Source organism: Homo sapiens, chromosome 18 (genome assembly GCF_000001405.40).
Source record: "Homo sapiens chromosome 18, GRCh38.p14 Primary Assembly".
NCBI classification, from domain to species: Eukaryota; Metazoa; Chordata; class Mammalia; order Primates; family Hominidae; genus Homo; species Homo sapiens.
In genome coordinates, this window is record NC_000018.10 from 70470205 (window position 1) to 70492215 (window position 22011).

Below are 22011 nucleotides of genomic sequence, written 5' to 3' on the forward strand. Positions count from 1 at the left end.
GTGAAGGCACTGGCAGCCACCACTGGCAGCTGGAACTCCCAAGCTACTCCACGACGCGGGAGGTTGCCTGGCAGTCAGTTTTGATGACCAGGCCTAGGAGCCACTCTCAAATCCAATTCTCCCTACTTTTGAACCGATTCAGAAGACTCGGAGACCTTGGTAAGTTTGATCTTAACGATGGCAGGACTCCTTGGGAAAATATCTTTGGCATGTAAAACACTGGCAAATAGAACAGGGAATGGTCATTTAAATGCTGGTCACATTGCACTGATATCGATTTGAAAATAAAAAGAGGATTACAGCTCTCAGGATTAGGGTAGGATTGATTAATGTAGTTCTTTCTTCAACACCAAAGACACAAATGTCCTGAAGGAAAAATTGATGCTCACTTAGAAAAATAAAGCTAATAATTCCATAGAATTATAATTCTCATAAGGAGATCATCTTTTGTGTCCCAGATGATTTAGAAGAACTGCATTCCCCGATCAGCTTCTGTTCATGGTTAATGGAAACGTTTTTTAAACTGCCACTAATGGCAACAAGGCAGCCCTAATTTAAAGAGCACTGCATTCTGGTTGATGAGCAATATCAGAGTTAGGGAAGTAAGTTTCATGTTTTCGACTCAGAGTTACCGATGAAATACTAGCTTGGAAGTGTTCCTGGTTATTAACCTTTGAAGAAAGGAAGCTCATCAACATTTTATTAAACCTATTTTCTGTAATGTGGCCATCTTATTTACTAATCATCGTTCAGCTTACGCATTTTACTGCAGGCAAATGTTGAGGCGCATTTTGTGTCTATTCTCTTCTCCATCTTAACAAGCAATCATCACTGATATTTGAGATGTTAAAGTCTACAGAGAGAAAGAAATATTGTAGTCTAAAATCTCTATTATTTTTGGAACTAGCCTCTAGATTAAAGAACAAAAGATGGTATCAATTTATAGGCTTTTTTTTGTTTTTTTGAGATGGAGTCTTACTCTGTCACCCGGGTGGGAGTGCAGTGGCATGATCTCAGCTCACTGCAACCTCGATCTCCTAGGCTCAAGCGATCCTCCCACCTCAGCCTCCCAAGTAGCTAGGACCACAGGTGTGTGCAACCACATCTGGCTAATTTTTCATATTTTTGGTAGAGATAGGGTTTCACTATGTTGCCTGGACTGGTCTTGAACTCCTAAGCTCAGGCGATCCACCTGCCTCGGCCTCCCAAAGTGCTGGGATTACAGGCACGAGCCACCACACCCAGCCTAGGCACCATTCTTGATTAAGATTCTAACTGTAGAAGTTCAGGAACCTGAATCTTGAAACATGTGGTCAGTAATTATGGGGGTAATACGGAGAGGGAACACGCATGTTGGGGCAAACTGAAGAAAGCACCCCTGAGCAGAATCATATGGGACCACTGGTATCATAAACCAATGTGTAACATTTTGAACTTTGGAACCAGACAGACTTGGGTTCAAATTTTGCTGCCACTGTATGTGTAGTGGCTGTGTGACCCTTAGTAAATTACTCAATCTCACTAATCCTCAGTTTCCCAATCCCTAAAATGGGGACAATGAAAGTGTCAACATTATAAGATAACTTTGAGGATTAAAGGATAATGTTCCTGGCAAACAGTATGTTCTCAATAAATGTGTGCAATTCTTGGGGGCTGTTATTGGATGTCAAAATGATGGGTCTGAGGAAGTAGGCATCAGGCAGAAGAATATCTATTTTTGACAAGGACTGGTTCTTATAGCCTTTGTTTCCAAGACATTTTAAGAGAGGATTCAGAAGGAACTTGCCCTAGACACATGTGGGCCTAAGTAGAATATGAGTTTTATTGACTCAAGGATAGCAGGGTGTAATTTATGGATTGAGTCAAATTTGATCACTGGTATATTCATCAGCATATCATAAAAGAAAGTCTTGCATTGGCATGACACTCTTCCACCATTTTTTTTCTCTCCTGCATTGTTGGTGCTGACTCTCCCTTGGGTTCCAGCTATTGTAATTTAGGTTTTCTCTAGGAAGATTAAGGTTGTGCTGAGAGTTGGTGGGGGGAATGAGATGAGCATTCCTGGCAGAGAGAACAGTATGAGCGAAAACACAGAGACATGATTTACGGAAGGTGAAAACCACTAAGTGGTAGAATGAGATGGATAATGTGTGTCTCAGCTGATGAAGGGTGACTGAAGAAATGAATTGTATATGTTGTATACAATGCCTTCTTTTTCCCCAGAATCCTTCTTGTTAGGTCCTTATTTTCAATTTTCTCGACATCAAGAATGATTTATTTGTGATGCTCAATTAATTTGCAATTGAATCCAATCAATTCATTGATTCAATTAATATTTATTGAGGTTTTACTGGGTAGATTGTATTATAAATACTTATGTATTGCAAAAATGAGTAAGATGATAGATAATGTTATTTAATAAAGATGATAAACCATATATACAAATGATAGTGACGGACCCAATCATATTTTTACCTTCAAACAGGGATTTTAACTAGTGGGTTTAAGTAGGATGGTTGCATTCCATTCAAAGAAGAAAGACTCGCCAGGCAGTGATGAGTATTTACAAAAATATTCAACATTATTACATGAATTTATACTCAGAAGCTAAACATTGTTATTATGTTTATCAAAAGGGAACATGGGTTAAAAATTGAGAAACTAGCATTGTTATGGGTCTGAAAGTTTGAAAACATTTTTGTTTTCAGTTTCATTGAATTTCCACAACACACATGGTACTTCCATTTCATAAATGAATAAGTCACAGCCCAAATAGGTTAAGCAAGTTTTTCAAAACACAGATAATAAATGATAGGGATAGCACTTACCCCAGAGCTTCTGATGCCAAAGTGTGGGTTCCTTTTACAAAACCCATCACACAACTTCCTAAGTGGTACACATTCATATTCATGTTTGAATTGAGAGGATGTCACAAAGATCAGGGCATCTGACAGGATAGTAGTAGAAGGTAGTCTGAGGTAGTGGAAACTGAAGCGGTGATGGGAGAACTACAAGCAGAGAGCAGGACAGGACATGAAGAAATGTACAATCAGAAATATCTGGGGAGTGATGGGAGAATGTTTTAACTTGGCTGGTGTTTGTAGAGACATAGTGAGAGATAAGAGCAGATGGGAGCTTGTGGCTCAAGTTAATCTAGGGAAGCAGGGGCAATTTTTGAAAAGAGAATCAACAATCATCATGACATTTTAAGAAGGCAAATATGTCAGTGTTGCATGGGATAGATTCCATAAGGGGGGCATTTTTAGATGACAAAATATCCCCTGAAGGTCTTAGCTAATGGTAATAGAAAAGGAGAAACATTGTGAGTATTATCCAAATGCCCACCTGGCCTTGCCCGTGGATTGCTGAGAGGCCTCTCAAACAGGATATTTCCACCAACCTCTCTCTTTCCCCTTGTCTTTCACAGTTTTGTTCCTCTACCTGTCTTCTCAATCTTAATAAGTTGTCTCATCATCGAAGTCACTCAAGCCAGGACACTGTTATCTTCAATTTCTGTTTTCCTGGCAGTGAGTCAGCAAACCCTGTTGTTTTCGTGTGTTAAATACATCTCATATCTATCCACCAATCTCCATCTTCTCTTTGACCACATTAGTCCAAACCTCCATCTTGCCTAAATTTTCCTACTGCTTCTGTTCCCCATCCAGCTATGATAGATATATCTGTATTATATATGTAATATATATTAGGATAGACGTATATAAGACAGACATATCTATATTATATATGTAATATATTCTAATATATATAAATAAATAAATATATAGAAATAAAATAACATGTTGCTCACCTGCCTAAAACAGTTTCATTATTTCCCATTTTCCTGGAAGTAAACTTCAGACTCCTCACTGTGGCCTTCAGGACCAGGAGGATGCAACCCTGAGCATCTCTTCAGCTTCCTTTCCTTTGCCCTCCTCTCTCCCAGCATTCCAGCCACTGCCTGCATTCTGGGATGCACACGGTGGGCATTTCCTACTCAGAACCTTCAGAGCTCTTCCTTCTCTTTGGAAACTGACAGCCTCATCCTCTTGCCCTCTTTGGAGAAGCCTTCCCTGATGTGTGAGTCAGGTCTGTTTCCTTTCTGTTACTGCATCATCACTCCCAGCTCTGTTTCTTTATAGCACTTGTTTTATATTATAATATTTTTTGTTAAGTAATTTACAGTTTTGTTTCAACTACCGAATTATCCATCTATGACGGCAAGAACACATCTGTTTTGTTCACTCCCTTGCACTTAGACCCAGGGCTTGGAACAGTGCATGTTCTACAGTGTATTCAAGTATATGTCGAATGACTGAATGAATGATTTGACAACTGATTGAATGTGGGAAGAAGGGATTCTATGGTTAGAATTCTATGGTTAGAATTTTTAGGAGCCTCTAGGGCTCCTAAAAATGCAGCCTTCCCAGTGTTGTGCTGGTAAACTGGGTATCATCACAGCACTCCCTCACCCCGAAAAGTCTTAATTTATAGTGATTGGGCATATTCAAGGTATAAATGACTCCACCATGGCCAATTTCAAGCTATCAATGAGATTGATGTTGCAGAACCTGACATTGGGAAGGGATGTCCACATCTGGATCTCCAGCACAGCATTTAGTTTTCTCGACTTTCAAGGTCTCTTGTGGACTAACAGTTGTGCTGCTGGTGGTTTTAGAGGAAAAAGTTTAAAAACATCCTATGAACATTTTACATATTTGTAATAAACGTTTCATTACGATTTTCATAGAATGCCATTGCATTCTTAATAATACTTTTACTCTTAAAAGCTGTGCATGAACTCTATGGATTCCACTGGTCTGTCTTATCTAACTTCCAATTTATAGGAAGTTATCTCAACCAGCATATTTTTATATTATTTGCATGGTATTATTCAGATTTGTTAAATTTGCATGTTGAGTTGTTAGTTTTGTGTTGTATCATACTCATAATTCACAAAAATGGATCAAAGGCTTGAAAGTGTTTCATTGAGGAATAAAAATAGTGAGGAAAATAGCAATGCATATATTAAAATCAAAATAATTTCATAAATGCAAATAGTAACTGGGTTTCTAGGTAAATATAAAATGTGAATCTATGTATGCTCATAAATGTTGACTTTTTGAGTGTGAAGATTTTGAACAAGCAGTCGAAAGGTCATGTGTGAATGCCCTAACAGTAGATTTTTTAAGATATAGAATCCATTTATCCCTGTTTATTGTGGCATGATGTCTGGGCTAGAATTCTTTCAAAGTGTGGCACCAATCCATACAAACTTTGAGGCGTTTTAAAAACAAAACCCCATTACCTTTTTTTGGTAAGGCAATTGCAGATATTTAGAATAACAAAAAATTAAATATTTTCAATTTTTAAAATGGACTTTTTTTTCTCCCTCAGTAGTGGTAGAGAAATGACCAGTGCTACAGAGAGATTATGGAAAGGTGAATTCCTTAAAGAAAAATGCGTGCAATTTACAAACTTGACTGACAAGATGCTTGTAAAACCAGCTATAAAAATTGATTGGTTTTCATCCAGGGAACATGGCAATCAAGCCATTGACAAAATTCCATGATCAAACATTAGAATCAGTGTTGGAGGTTGCATAGTACCAGTGGCTGACACTGGAAAATCAAGGACTGTCATGCACATGTGCTCATAGATCTACGCTTCATGTCTGACATGAAGTACCAAGTATAGATGAGGGGAGACAGCTGGATAATTTTTATTTGTTTTTTCTTTTACTGAAAATATATACAATAAAAATTTTGTTGTTTAGTTAATCATTACTTTGTGAGCTGTGCTGGAGCCTGGAAAAGGATCAGTGGCACTAGTATTTTTTTTTTTAACTTTTATTTTTGGTTCTTGGGGACATGTGGAGGTTTGTTACATAGGTAAATTTGTGGCATGGGGGTTGTACAGATTACTTCATCACCCAGGTATTAAGCCTAGTATCCATCAGTTATTTTTCCTGCTTCTCTCCCTTTTCTCACCCTTCACCCTCAGGTAGGCCCCAGTGTGTGCTTTTCCCTCTTTGTGTTCATGAGTTCTCATTTAGCTCTCACTTACAAGTGAGAACATGTGTTATCCGGTTTTCTGTTTCTGCGTTAGCTTGCTAAAGATAATGGCCTCCAGCTCCATCCATGTTCCCTCAAAAGACATGATCTCATTCTTTCTTATGGCTTCATAGTATTCCATGGTGTATATGTACCATATTTTCTTGTTCCAGTCTGTCATTGATAGGTATTTAGATTGATTGCATGTCTTTGCTATTGTTAATAGTGCTGGAATGAATATATGTGTGGATGTATCTTTATGGCAGAATTATTTCTATTCCTTTGGGTATATACTCAGTAATGGGATTGCTGGGTTGAATGGTAGTTCTGTTTTTAGCTCCTTGAGGAATCACCATACTGCTTTCCACAATGATTGAACTAATTTACACTCTCACCAACAGTGTACAAGTGTTCCTCTTTCTCTGCAAACTTGCCAGCATCTGTTATTTTTTTGACTTTTTAACAGTAGCCATTCTGAGGCCGGGCACGGTGGCCCACAGCTGGAATCCCAGCACTTTGGGAGACTGAGGCAGGTGGATCACCTGAGGTCAGGAGTTCGAGACCAGCCTGGCCAACATGCTGAAACCCTGTCTCTACTAAAAATACAAAAAATTACCCAGGTGTGGTGGTGGGCACCTGTAATCTCAGCTACTCAGGAGGCTGAGACAGGAGAATCGCTTGAACCCAGGAGGCAGAGGTTGCAGTGAGCTGAGATTGCACCATTGCACGCCAGCCTGGGCAACAAGAGTGAAACTCTGTCTCAAAACTAACAAAAAAATAAAATAATAGCCATTCTGACTAGTGTGAGATGGTATCTCATTGTGGTTTTGATTAGCATTTCTCTAATGATCAGTGACACTGAGCTTTTTTTCATATGCTTGTTGGCCACATATATATTGATATAGTTTGGCTGTGTATGCACCCAAATCTCATCCGGAATTGTAGCTCCCATAATCCCCACATATTGTGGGAGGGGCCCAGTGTGAGGTAATTGCATCATGGAGGCAGGTTTTTCCTATGCTGTTCTCATGATAGTGCATAAGTCTCACAAGAACTGATGGTTTTATAAAAGGGCAGTTCCCTGGCACATGCTCTCTTGTTGCCTGCCATGTAAGATGTGCCTTTGCTTTTCCTTCATCTTCCTCCATGATTGTGAGACCTCCTCAGCCATATCAAGATGTGAGTCTATTAAATCACTTTTTCTTTATAAATTGCCCAGTCTCAGGTATTTCTTCCAGGCAGTTTGAAAATGGACTAATATAGTAAATTTGTGCTGAGAGTGGGATACTGCTATTAAGATACCTGAAAATGTGGAAGTGATTTTGGAACTGGGTAACAGGCGAATGTTGGAACAGTTTGGAGCCCTCAGAAGAAGACAGGAAGATGTGGGAAAGTTTGGAGCTTTCTAGAGACTTGTTGAGTGGTTTTGACCAAACAGTCCAGGCTGAAGTGGTCTCAGATGGAGATGAGGAACTTATTGGGAACTGGAGTGAAGGTGATTCTAGCTACGCTTTAGCAAAGAGACTGGTGGCATTTTGCCTCTGTCCTAGAGAACTGTAGAACTTTGAACTTGAGAGAGATGATTTAGGGTATCTGGTGGGAGAAATTTCTAAGCAGTGAAAAGTTCAAGAGGAAGCAGAGCAAAAAAGTTTGAAAAATTTGCAGCCTGATGATGCAATAGAAAAGAAAAACCATTTTCTGGGGAGAAATTCAAGCTGGCAGCAGAAATTTGCATAAGTAATGAGGAGTAGAATGTTATTCACCAAGACAATGGAGAAAATGTCTCCAGGGCATGCCAGAGACCTTCATGGCAGCCCCTCCCATCACAGTGGGCCTAGGAGGGAAAAATGGTTTCCTGGGCCAGGTCCAGGGCCCCCCTGCTATGTGCAGCCTTGGGACTTTGTGTTCTGCATCCCATCCGCTTCATCTGTGGCTAAATGGGGTCAATGTACAGCTTGTACTGTGGATTCAGAGGATACAAGCCCCAGGCCTTGGCAGCTTCCATGTGGTGTTGGTCCTGTGGGTGTGCAGAAGGCAAGAATTAAAGTGTGGGAACATCTGCCTAGATTTCAGAGGATGTATGGAAATGCCTGGATGTCTAGGCAGAGGTGTGCTGCAGGGGCGGAGACCTTGTGGAGAACCTCTGCTAGGGCACTGTGGAGGGGAAATGTGGGGTGGGAGCCCCTACACAGAGTCTCAACTGGGGCACTGCCTAGTGGAGCTGTGAGACGAGGGCCACTGTCCCCCAGACCCCAGAATGGTAGATCCACTGACAGCTTGCACCATGTGCCTGGAAAAGCCACAGAAGACTCAATGACAGCCATGAAAACAGCCAGGAGTGGGCCTGTACCCTGAAAAGCCCAGTAGCAGAGCTGCCCAAGACCATGGGGACCCACCTCTAGCATCAGTATCCCCTGGATGTGAGACATGGAGTCAAAGGAGATAATTCTGGAGCTTGAAGATTTGACTGCCCTGCTGGGTTTTGGACTTGCATGGGGCCTCTAGCCCCTTCATTTTAGCCAATTTCTCCCACTTGGAGCAGGTGTATTTACCCAATGCCTGTATCCTCATTGTATATAGGAAGTAACTAACTTGCTTTTGATTTTACAGGCTCATGGTGGAAGGGACTTGCCTTGTCTCAGATAAGACTTTGGACTGTGGACTTTTGAGTTAATGCTGAAATGAGTTTAGACTTTGGGGGACTGTTGGGAAGGCATGATTGGTTTTGAAATGTGAGGACATGAAATTTGGGAGAGGCCAGGGGATGAATGATATGGTTTGGTTGTGTCCCCCCCAAATATCATCTTGAATTGTAGCTCCCACAATCCCTACATGTTATGGGAGGGACCCAGAGGAAGATAATTGAATCATGTAGGGAAAAGAAAGATCAGACTGTCACTGTGCCTATGTAGAAAGGGAAGACATAAGAGACTTCATTTTGAAAAAGACCTGTACTTTAAACAATTGCTTTGCTGAGATGTTGTTAATATGTAGCTTTGCCCCAACCACTTTGCCCCAGCCACTTTGACCCAACCTGGAGCTCACAAAAACATGTGTTCTATAAAATTAAGGTTTAAGGGATCTAGGGCTGTGCAGGACGTGCCTTGGTAACAAAATGTTTACAAGCAGTATACTTGGTAAAAGTCATTGCCATTCTCTAGTCTCAATAAACCAGGGGCACAATGCACTGTGGAAAGCCACAGGGACCTCTGCCCTTGGAAGCAGGGTATTGTCCAAGGTTTCTCCCCATGTGATAGTCTGAAATATGGCCTCGTGGGATGAGAAAGACCTGACTGTCCCCCAGCCCGACACCCGTAAAGGGTCTGTGCTGAGGTGGATTAGTAAAAGAGGAAAGCCTCTTGCAGTTGAGATGGAGGAAGGCCACCGTCTCCTGCTTGCCCCTGGGAACTGAGTATCTCGGTGTAAAACCCGATTGTACATTTGTTCTACTCTGAGATAGGAGAAAAGCTGCCCTGTGGCGGGAGGCAAGACATGTTTGCAGTAATGCTGTCTTGTTATTCTTTACTCCGCTGAGAAGTTTGGGTGGAGAGAAACATAAATCTGGACTACGTGCACGTCCAGGCATAGTACCTTCCCTTGAACTTAATTATGATATAGATTCTTTTGCTTACATGTTTTTTGTTGACCTTCTTATTATCACCCTGCTCTCCTACTACATTCCTTTTTGCTGAAATAATGAAAATAATAATCAATAAAAACTGAGGGAACTCAAAGGCTGGTGCCGGTGCAGGTCCTTGGTGTGCTGAGTGCCGGTCCCCTGGGCCCACTGTTGTTTCTCTATACTTTGTCTCTGTGTCTTATTTCTTTTCTCAGTCTCTCGTCCCACCCAACTAGAAATACCCACGGGTGTGGTGGGGCAGGTCACCCCTTCAAATCATTGGGGTGGATTTTTCCCATGCTATTCTTGTGATAGTGAATAAGTCTCCTGAGAACTGATGATTTTATAAAAGGGCAATTCCCCTGCACACCCTCTTTTTTGCCTGCCACCGTGTAAGATGTACCTTTGCTCTTCCTTCGCCTTCCACCATGATTGTGAGGCCTCCCCAGCCATGTGGAACTGTGAGTCCATGTGAGTTACAGGTGCCTGTTTTTCTTTCTAAATTACCCAGTCTTGGATATTTCTTCATAGTAGTATGAAAATAGACTAATACATATATTTTCTTTTGAAAAGTGTCTGTTCATGTCCTTTTCCCACTTTTTAATGGGGTTGTTTGTTTTTTCTCATAAATTTAAGTTTCTTATAGATGCTGTTAGACCTTTGTCAGATGCTTAGTTTATAAAATATTTTTCCCATTCTGTAGATTGTCTATTTACTCTGTTGATAGTTTCTTGTGCTGTGCAGAAGCTCTTTTGTTTAATTAGATCCCATTTGTCAATTTTTGCTTTTGTTGCAATTGCTCTTGGTGGCTTCATCATGAAACCTTTGCCCATTCCTCTGTCTAGAATGGTACTGCCTCAGTTGCTGTCCAATGTTTTTATAGTTTTGGGTTTTACATTTAAGCCTTTAATCTATCTTGAGTTGATTTTTGTAAATGGTGTAGGGAAGGGGTCCAGTTTTAATCTTCTGCATATCACTAGCCAATTATCTCAAAACAATTTATTGAATAGGGAGTCCTTTCCCCATAGCTTGTTTTTGTTAGCTTTGTCAAAGATCAGATGGTCATAGTTGTGTGGCCTTATTTCTTGGTTCTCTATTCTGTTCCATTGGTCGGTGTGTCTGTTTTGTACCAGTACAATGCTATTTGGGTTACTGTAGCCCTGTAGTATAGTTTGAAGTTTGGTAACATTATGTCTCTAGCTTTGTTCTTTTTGCTTAGGATTGTTTTGGCTATTCTGGCTTTTAAAAAAATTCATATTTTTTTTTGAGATGGAGTCTCGCTCTGTTGTCCAGGCTGGAGTGCAGTGGTGCAATCTCGGCTCACTGCAATCTCCCACTGCTGGGTTCAAGTAATTCTCCTGCCTCAGCCTCCCTAGTAGCTGGGACTACAGGCATGTGCCACCACACGAGGCTAATTTTTGTATTTTTAGTAGAGACAGGGTTACACCATGTAGGCCAGGCTGGTCTTGAACTCCTGACCTTGGGTGATCCACCCGCCTTGGCCTTCCAAAGTGCTGGGATTACAGGTGTGAGCCACTGCACCCAACCTCCACATGAATTTTAAAATAGTTTTTTCTAGTGCTGTGAAAAATGTTGCTGGTAGTTTGATAGGAATGGAATTGAATCTGTAAATTGCTTTGGGTAGTATGGCCATGTTAATGCTGTTGATTCTTCCTATCCATGAACATGGAATGTTTTTTCATTTGTTTGTGTCATCTCTGATTTCTTTGAGCAGTGTCGTGTAGTTCTTATTGTAGAGATCTTTTACCTCTGTGATAAGCTGTATTTCCTAGGTATTTTATTCTTCTTGTGGCAATTGTGAATGAGATTGTATTTGACTTGGCTCTCAGCTTGGCTGTTGTTGGTGTGTAGCAATGTTAGTGATTTTTGTACATTGATTTTGTATTCTGAAATTTTGCTGAAGTTGTTTATCAGCTGAAGGAGCTTTTGGGCTGAGACTATGGGGTTTTCTAGATATAGGATCATGTCATCTACAAACAGGGAGAGTTTGACTTCCTGTGTCCTTATTTGGATGACCTTTATTTCTTTCTCTTGCCTGATTGTTCTGGCCAGGACTTCCAACACTATGTTGAAGAAGAGTGGTGAGAGACAGCATCCTTTCCTTGCACTGGTTTTTAAGGGGAATGCTTCCAGCTTTTCCCCATTCAGTATAATGTTGGCTGTGGATTTGTAATAGATAGCTCTTATTATTTTGAGGTATGTTCCTTCAATACCTAGTTCATTGAGAGTTTTTAACATGAAGGTTTGTTGGATTTTATCAGAAGCCTTTTTTTTGCATCTGTTGGGATAATCATGTGATTTTTGTCTTTAGTTCTGTTCAGGTGGTGAATCACAGTTACTGATTTGCATATGTTGAACCAACCTTGCATCCTTGGGATTAGCCTTTTGATGTGCTGCTGGATTCAGTTTGCAAGTTTTTTTGTTGTTTTTGTTGAGGATTTTTGCATCAATGTTCATCAAGGATATTGGCCCAAAGTTTTCCTTTTTTTTGTTGTGTCTCTGCCAGGTTTTGGTATCAGGATGATGCTGGCCTCATAGGATGAGTTGGGGAGGAATCCCTCCTCCTCAATTTTTTGGAATAGTTTATGTAGGAATGCTATTAGTTCTTCTTTGTACATCTGGTAGAATTTGGCTGTGAATTCATCTGGTCCTGGGCTGTTTTTGGTTGATAGGCTATTTATTACTGATTCGATTTTGGAGCTTATTATTGATCTCTTCAGGGAATCAATTTTTTCCTGGTTCAGTCTTGGAAGGGTGTATGTTTCCAGGAATTTATCCATCTCTTTTAGGTTTTCTAGTTTGTATGCATAGAGGTGTCCATAGTAGATTCTTCCGGTTATTTTTATTTCTGTGCGGTCAGTGGTAACATCCCCTTTGTTATTTCTAATTGTGTTTGTTTGGATCATCTCTCTTTTCTTCTTTATTAGTCTAGCTAGTGGCCTGTCTATCTTATTAATTTTTTTCAAAACACAAACTCCTGGATTTGTTGATCTTCTGAATGGTTTTTCGTGTCTCAATTTTCTACAGTTCAGCTCTGATTTTGGTTATTTCTTGTCTTCTGCTCACTTTGTAGTTGGTTTGCTCTTGCTTTTCTAGTTGTTTCAGTTGTGATATTAGGTTGTTAATTTGAGATCTTTCTAACTTTTTGATGTGGATGTTTTGCACTGTGAGTTTCCATCTTAACACTGCCTTAGCTGTGTCCCAGAGATTCTCATATGTTATAGGTTTGCTCTCATTAGTTTCCAAGAACTCTTGATTTCTCCCTTAATTTCATTTTTTATTCAAAAGTCATTCAGGAGGATGTTGTTTAATTTCCATGTAATTGATGGTTTTGAGCAATTTTTTTAGTCCTGTTCTATTTTTATTTTGCTGTGGTCTGAGAATGTGTTTGGTATGATTTTGGTTCTTTTGCATTTGCTGAGGATTGTTTTATATTTGATTACGTGGTCAGTGTGCTATGTGGTGATGAGAAGAATGTATATTCTGTTGTTTTTGGGTGGAAAGTTCTGTAGAGCTCTATCAGATCCATTTGGTCCAATGTTGAGTTCAGCCTCTAAATACCTTTGTTAACTTTCTGTCTTGATGTTCTGTCTGATACTGTCAATGGAGTTTTGAGGTTTCCCACTATTATTATGTGTGAGTCTATGTCTCTTTAAAGGTCTCTAAGAACTTGTTTTATGAATCTGGGTGCTCCTATGTTGGGTGCATATATATTGGTGATGGGATCTGCTTTTTATGATTTCCGTTTGCTTGGTAGATTTTTTCTCCATCTCTTTATTTTGAGCCTATGGGTGTCATTATGTGTGAGATCGGTTTCTTGAAGACAGGATACCATTGGGTCTTGCTTTTTTATTCAGCTTGCCACTCTGTGCCTTTTAAGTGGGGGCATTTAGCCCATTTACATTCAAGGTTTGTATTGATATGAGTGGTTTTGATCCTGTCCTTGTGTTTTTAGCTGGTTATTATGTTGCTTTATAGTGTGACTGGTCTGTGTATTTAAGTGTGTTCTTGTATTTGCTGGTAATGGTCTTTCCTTTCTATATTTAGTTCTCCTTTAAAGATCTTTTGTAAGCAGATCTGGTGGTAACAAACTCCCTCAAAATTTGCTTATCTGAAAAGGATTTCTTCTTCACGTAGGAAGCTTAGTTTGGCTGGCTATTCTTGGTTATTTTTTTTTTCTTTAAGAATGTTGACTATAGGCCCCTAGTTTCTTCTGGCTTGTAGGGTTTCAGCTGGGGGGTGGACTGCTAGCCTGATGGTGTTCCCTTTGTAGGCAATCTGCCCTTTTTCTCTAGCTGCCTCTACCATTCTTTCATTTCAACCTTGGAAAGTCTGATGATTACGTGTTTTAAGGATGATCTTCTTGAGTAGAATCTTGCAGGAGTTCTCTATTTCCTGAATTTGACTGTTGGCCTCTCCAGCGAGACTGGGGAAGTTTTCATAGATGATATCCTGAAATATGTTTTCCAAGTTGTTTGCTTTCTCCCCTTCCTTTTCAGGGACACCAGTGGTTGGTAGATTTGCCTTCTTTATATAATTCCATATTTTTCAGAGGTTTTGTTCATTCCTTTTCATTCTAATTTCTTTATTTTCATTTGACTGTCTTATTTCAGAGAGGCAGTCTTTAATTTCTTAGATTCCTTCCTCAGCATGGTCTATTCCACTACTGATATTTGCAATTGCATTGTGAAATTCTTGTAGTGTTTTTCAGTTTTGTGAGATCCATTAGGATCTGGCTATGCCATTTTTCAGCTTCTGTATCATTTTATTGTGATATTTAGTTTCCTTGGATTGGGTTTTACTATTCTGAATCTTGAGGATCTTTGTTCCTATCCATATTCTGAATTATATTTCTGTCTTTTCAGCCAACTGAACTTGGTTAAGAACTCTTGTTGGGGCCGGGCGCAGTGGCTCATGCCTGTAATCCTAGCACTTCGGGAGGCTGAGGTGGGCAGATCACAAGGTCAAAAGATTGAGACCATCCTGGCCAACAGGGTGAAACCCCGTCTCTACTAAAAATACAAAAGTTAGCTGCGTGTAGTGGTGCGTGCCTGTAGTCCCGGCTACTTGGGAGGCTGAGGCAGGTGAATGGCTTGAACCTGGGAGGCAGAGGTTGTAGTGAGCCAAGATCACACCACTGCACTCCAGCCTGGTGACACAGCGAGACTCCGTCTTAAAAAAAGAAAAGGAAAGAAAAAAAGAACTCTTGTTGGAGAACTACTGCATTACCTGAGTTCTTGCATTGGTTCTTTCTCATCTCTGCATGTGGGTGTTCCTTTAACTGCAGTGTATATTGAGTACAGTCAATAGACTTCTTTTCTGGATGTTTTCACAGGGATGAGGCTTTTTGTGCAGCATCTTTATTTGTAGCTGACTGCTTGTCTTTGGTTTCACAGTAGGGTATGTTAGTGAGGTATTTTGGGGGTTGAAGCTTTGGAGTGTGATTCAGTAGGTGGTGCTTAGGCATATCGGTCAGTTGTTAGGCTGTTGCTCAGTTGTGTGGCTTCCCTATATTTCCTTACTGTTGCAGCCACACTCCCTCTCAGTGCTCTGAAATTTTGGCTCTTCTCTCACTTGAGTGCTGGCTGTAGATTGCAGCTTGGCACTCCTGAGCTACCCACCACAGCTCTGGGGTGATCTCAGGGTTTATGTTCCCTCCCCAACTTGGAGGCAGCAGAGGAAGGGACATTAGTAGTGGTTGTGTCCAAGGGTCTTTTGCTTGTCTCCTGGGGACTCCACCCCAGAGAAATGCAGGTCGTCAATCACTCAGTGCAATCAGTCCAGGATGGAGAGTCTGTGCTGTGGGCCCAAGCCAGGGGTTCCCTGCATGGGGACTAGTATTTTTAAGATGGCTGAAATATGTTCAATGAACAAGGGCTTTTATATAAAAATAAAGTGATTCCACCAATAGTCAGTGTTTATTCAAAGAGAAAGGTTCATAGTCAACAACATGACTCTGGTTGTTAAAGGAAATAGTGAAAATTGCGGAGAAGATAAAATCTTAGACATAAGGTGTTTTTTATTTACAGTATTTTGAGTGAGGGAGTGGGCTATGAAACTGCATTTAAAAACACCAAAATACATTGCTAATAGAAAAGCTGTTTGCATAAATTTACACGGAGGTAAAATCACTTCTTCATGTTGTTGATAAAACCGGTAAAGATGATTTTGTGATATGTGGTGGTTTGGGAATATATTACTATTTGGCCTAGCCTGAACCTGTCACCTACAACTGAATGATTACAGTTTTCACCATTGAGGTTGTAATATTAGGAATTATTAGAGACCAAACTTGGGCACACTGGGAGCTTAACTCTTTTCCATACTTGATGATTTTCTTCACTACTCAGAAAATGAAATCAATGAGATGTTACTGGGAATATTTATAAACCACATCCTAATGCTGCCACAGATAATGAAAGAATACTTCGCAGAGTCAAGTCAATCCAAGAGAGGATGAGGAATTTATTTTCCATGATTTCCTAAATTTACATAACTCAAACTTCCAGCTTTTGAATCTGAGAGGCCTTCCATTTAGCATCTCTCCAATCCTGTAAGTGATTTTTCATAGCAATTTCTGTACAACTTCTGCATCCATGATCATGATTAAGCTGAATGTATAGAACTAGCTGAGAGTCACCAGTCACTGACTCCCAAGAGGACCATGAATTTGTATCAGAAGGTTCTATTTACCAAATGTAGAGTAACTAGCTGTCCTGTGAATCGGGCAGTCTACTGGACTGGATTTCATGCTTTTCAATGGCAGGAAAGAGAGATTATTTCACAATTAATGTTAGTCTTAAATATTGTTATAACTTTTCTTAAGATTGTACTAAACATGGCAGTCCCTATATGCACCAAAAACCCATTAACAGTGTGCAGATGTCTGAAGTGTGAGAAGCACCGTTCACAACTGTTATTTCCAAATGGTGAGTATGACAGCAGGAAAACTATGGTTTATATTACACTTTAAGCATTTCTGTTTTGTATTTGATTTGTAATGTGCACAGTATTGAGTACAGTGATAAGTCTATACGCTTATGTGAATATACATAGAATGCAAGTACATGCTTAAAAGTTTTTTTATGGTAGGGACCCATAATCAAAAAGTTTGAACACTTATAGGGTTTGCAGGTGTGTCCCCACCTGAATTTCATATTGAAATGTTATCCCCAAGGCTGGAGGTGGGGCCTGGTGGGAAATGATTAGATCTTGGGGGTGGATTTCACATAAATGGTTTAGTACCATCCCCTTTGTGCTGTCCTCGTGGCAGGTGAATTCTCCTGAGATCTGGGTGTTTAAAAGTGTGTGGCACCTCACACTCTCTGTTGCTCTTGCTCCTGCTCCTGCCATATGAGAGGTCTGCTCCTCTTTCGCCTTCTGCCATGACTATAAGCATCCTGAGGCCTCCCCAGAATCTGAGCAGACGTCGACACCATGTTCAATCGTGTCCTCTACAACCTGCAGAACTGTGAGCCAATTAAACCTCTTTTCTTTATAAATGACCAGTCTCAGGTATTTCTTTATGGCAATGCAACAATGGCCTAATACAAAGACTGTTGATAAACTCATCTGAAATAATTTGTGTACACTCCTATGTTGTCAGCACGGTTTGCTTCTTTTAAATCATTGAAAAGTGGTGCTCAAACCTCATCAGTTTTTCAGCCCATCTAACTTTGAGTTTTACCTGGATAGAGACACCTTTAGGAAAGACTCATGCGCTGCTGGTCACAGGTATCCACAGGTGACCAGTGCAGCTGTTCCACACCCCAGCAGTGGCCTCACGGGCTTTCAGGGGCTTCTCTGTAAGCTGTGCTGGAGAAACACTCTCATTCTCAGGAGGATCCTGGGCGTTTGCTGAGTGTAGTGATCTACCTAGGAGCAATCGAGGATGTCTGACCCAGAGTCATTGTACTGCCTTTCAAGACCCCTGATCTGGTTGGCACCTCTGCTGAGAAGGCTCCACTCCCAAGGGAGTAGGGGCAGGGAGGGGCGGGCAGCCTTGCCTAGAGTCTAGGATCCAGTTCTCATTCTCCAGTCACCACGAGCCCCTGCCTGGGGAGCCAAGTGCTCATCTTCTCAGTCCGAACATCTTTGCACCCTCTTTGCTGTGTCTGACAAGTTAGAAGCTAGACAGAGGGACTTTATTGTTAACTGCACATATGCAATTCACATTGCAGATGAAACTGCTGGAAATGTTTATTTTTAAATATAGTTTTGTTTTTAAATAGAGACAGGGTCTCAGCATGTTGCCCAGGGTTTTTTCCAGCTCCTAGCCTCAAGCCATCCTCCCATCTCAGCCTCCCAAAATGCAGTTTTTCAAATTTATTTTTGAAACAGTAATATAACGATATGGCCAAAAATGAACAAGAAGTGCCAGAGTATATTCTATACAGTGCAACTCAGTCTCCTCCCAGCCATATTTCCCAGAGGTCCTTCTACACTTTTCCAGAGTGAAGCTGTTGATAAACAAACACATATATGTTCTTTGTAAACCCAAGATGAGAGTGTATGATCATCTTCATTCTGCACATTTTTCCAATAAACAATGTCTCAGCAATCTTTCTGAATTAGTATATATAATCCTACTCTCACTTTAAATGTTGGTACACTGTAAATATTGGTGTACTATTATTTCTTTCTTTCTCTCTCTCTCTTTCTTTCTTTCTTTTTTTTTTTTTTTGAGAGACACGGTCTTGCTGTGTCGCCCAGGCTAGAGTGCAGTGGCACAATCTCAGCTCACTGCAATCTCTGCCTCCCAGGTTCAAGCAATTCTCCTGCCTGAGCCTCCCAAGTAGCTGGGATTACAGGCTCATACCATCATGCCTGGCTAATTTTTGTATTTTTAGTAGAGACAGGGTTTTGCCATGTTAGCCAGGCTGGTCTCGAACTCCTGACCTCAAGTGATCCACCTACCTTGGCCTCCCAAAGTGCTGGGATTACAGACATGAGCCACCGCGTCCAGCCCATGATTTCTTTATTCAGCCTGCACTCATGGACATTTAGGTTGTTCCCAGATATTTTTTTTTTTTGCTATTAAAAATGAGAATGCTATGAATTTCCTTGTATCAATGGGAATAGATGTGTAGGGAAAATGCCTAGACATGGCTGGGCGTGTGTGTAAGGTGCATTATGATAGATATTGCCAAACTGTTCTGTGTGAAAGTTGTAGAATCAAGTTTTCTTGCCAACAGCATATTAGAGGGGTCATTTGCTTTAATACACAAAGTTTATAAAATATTTTTAGTTTTACCTATTTGATAGTTGTTAGATTAATTAGGTATAATAGTTGCATTTTATTATTAGTGAGGTTGACTATATTGACACGTGCTTAGACACAATCTCCTTCCTTTCTTGAAAATTGCTCACGTGTGTCGTATTAGGTTGTTAGCATTAACTTTCTTACTGGTTTGTATAAATACTTTTTAAATAGTAAGGACTGTAGCCTTTCCATATGTGTTGCAGATACTTTTCCCAGTTTGTTACTTGTATTTTGACATTTAGGTAATGCTGTTTTGCAGAGTAAAGGCTTGTTATTTATTGTAGTCAAATTGCACAATTTTATCTTTATAATTACTAGGTTTTGTTTATCACCTGAAAGGCTTCCTGGTATATTGCTTAAATATTCATTGACAAAGATTTAGTTAAGCTTTCTGTCTTCCCAGTGCTCTTACAGCACCTGGAAAGATGTGAATTTCAAGGATTTATTAAAATGACTGCTTTTGTTTTACTCCGGATAAAACCGAATCAGTTTGAACCCTACAGAGGAGCCCAGAATGATTTCTCTTTGTCTCAGAGGCCTGCCTTTCTCTCTCTGTCTCAGAGGTTTGCCTCCACCTCCCCTGAACCTTGGCCCAGAAGTTTGCCTTCTCTCTCTTCCTTCCCCCTTCTTAGTGGCCTCTGAACCCAAGAATCTGTCCTGGAAGCCAAATGGAAATTCTACACAGAAGCCCGTCTAAGTCTTAGCAGCAATGTTGTACTCGTTTTCTTCTTTAAAATTAATGAATACACAGCCAGAGGTTTATTATGCCACACACATTGTGTTCACCACTCTTCATGATTAAAAGTCTCACTTCTGGGGTCCAGGACAACTTCCTAAATTCATCACCGGGAACTGCATTGCAACATTGCTGATTCTGGCCCTATGATTAATTCTACAGCTTTTGAAGAAACCCAAACTGGACAGACAGTTACTGAATTTTTGTAATGTCCGAGGCTTCCAGGAGGAGTGACACATATCTCTGCTGGATGAGCTCACAGTTCCAATGAGAAGATACAAGCTGAAAGATTGCAGCAGAACTGGGAAGTGAAAGCACGGAGAGGCTGTGGGACATGGAGGAGGGGCGGTAAGATTGAGAAAGAGGTAACAGTTGGGGTGACTTTGGACCTGAGACCTGGGCAGGCATAAGAAGTCTCACTCTCTATTCCATTCTTGGCAGGGGATGTTTCTTTGTACCAGGTAGCTTTGCGCTTGTTTTGTTCCATAAAAGTAAATCTCTGTTCACTAAGGAATTATGGTAGTGAATGGTGACTCTCCGGAATTATAGGGCTAATTCCAAAATAATCTTAGTTTTATTCCCCCACATTGTAATATTAACACTTGGGAATTTTGTTTATCGCGATGTTTAATAATTTGGCCAGCAGAGGGCACTGCATACTGACAGTCTCTCCACACCAGTCGCTCAAATCCTCAAGAGTTCCCGAAGTGTTAGGCTTAACTCAGGGGTGTTTGCAAGTGCTTTGCTCTTCTGTTTCAGACATAAACATATGTCAGAAATTAAAAGAGGGTTGTGAAGCAGGAAATTAGATTAACAGTAGCATATAATTTCCCTCTATTTGTTAATAAAGAGAAAAAATATTGGTATGTACACCCATGTCTACAGGGTTTTAAATGTAGCTGTATTAATTAATGTATTAATAATATGATAACACTACTTCTTGCATAAATCAACATAACTTCTAAATTCTCTTTGAAAATATTTTTGGTTTTATATTGTGGTTTAATTCTCAATCATAAACTAAAAAGTAAAAAAACCTGATGCCTAATGTTATACTTTCTTTCAAACCTTAAGATAGATATTATTGTTTGAATAGTATCAAAATATTGTGGTTCTGCACAAATGCTTTTTATAACTTCTTACGATGATATTTTAATTTCTATTTCCACATATGGATATGAGTATTCGAAAACATTTGACGCACAATTTTCTTCTCTTCATCTCCCCATTATAAAAATGTAAAGGTGTGTTTTAAAACCCGTTTGCTCTTGGTTAAACTTGACAATGTGGAGACCCCTTTGTTAGCTGGTCCTATGAGTTAATGCACAGCCTTTGTGTTTTTCATTTAAGGAATAAACTAAACTGGTACCATCCAATGCTACTGACTTGATTTGCCATAGCCCATCTCTATGATGTAAATATGGATTCCCTGGCATTTGCAGAGTTAAGACAGTCTCCTGGGATCAAAGCCTGCATCACATAAATACAGGAGAAAAGCTACTAAAAATTTCTTACAGTAGGAAAACACTCAAGAAGGTTTTTATATTAAAAATCCCTTATCCCAAAAACTGTAGGCTGTGTTCTGATGATGTATTACTAATTTATCAGATATATTTAATGACAGTTTGTAACATGTTCCTACTAAGTGAAGGAACGGTGCTCTGATAAGCACTGGGCAGAATTGAAGAAGTATGACATTCTCTGATCACTTAATCCATGCTCAATTTGACTAGCAATTTTATTTAGGTTTATTGCTTGCTATATAATATACTTAGTTGTATAAGTAAGATACAGATTAATAGTATTTAAATATTACTTTGGAAGCTTTTAAGGGAAATAATTCTAATTCTGAATAATACTAAATAGCTCTGCAGCATGTTGGGATTTAAATATAGATTCAGTCACTACTGTAGATTAAGTCATGATTTGTCTTTTAAAATTGGAAAGCGAGTTAACTTTTGCCCATTGGTTCTCTTTGCAGTGAGTGACCGCCTGGGTACCTGTGGGCATCTGCATTCCACATTGTGTCTGCAGTGCCCTCTTGTGGCCATGCATCTTTATGCAGATAGAGTCTTCCTCTACTACTATCTTTTGGGGCTTCTTCCATTTCGCTTTGCATTGGTGAGGCTACTGGAATAGGACTTACTTGAGCCCGGTTCATTATCTACAAGTAGGATATTGGTACCAGACAGCACTAGGAAGACTAATACAATCTTGGAGGAGGTACTTCATAGCTTGATGTTCTAAAGATTAGCTTTAAGTCATTACATTTTTGGTCATTTATTTAAAGTGATTATTCCTCATAAAATATGGTTATTATCAA

General features: G+C 40.0%; 1 long non-coding RNA gene across 1 annotated transcript; it reads left to right on the forward strand.

Moving 5' to 3' along the window:
- The first annotated feature begins 72 nt into the window (after positions 1–72).
- On the forward strand, positions 73–21061 carry LOC105376872 (uncharacterized). The gene is made up of 3 exons (XR_935606.3): positions 73–159; positions 16041–16243; positions 19851–21061. It is a non-coding gene; the product is annotated as an uncharacterized LOC105376872 (long non-coding RNA).
- The last annotated feature ends 950 nt before the right edge of the window (positions 21062–22011 follow it).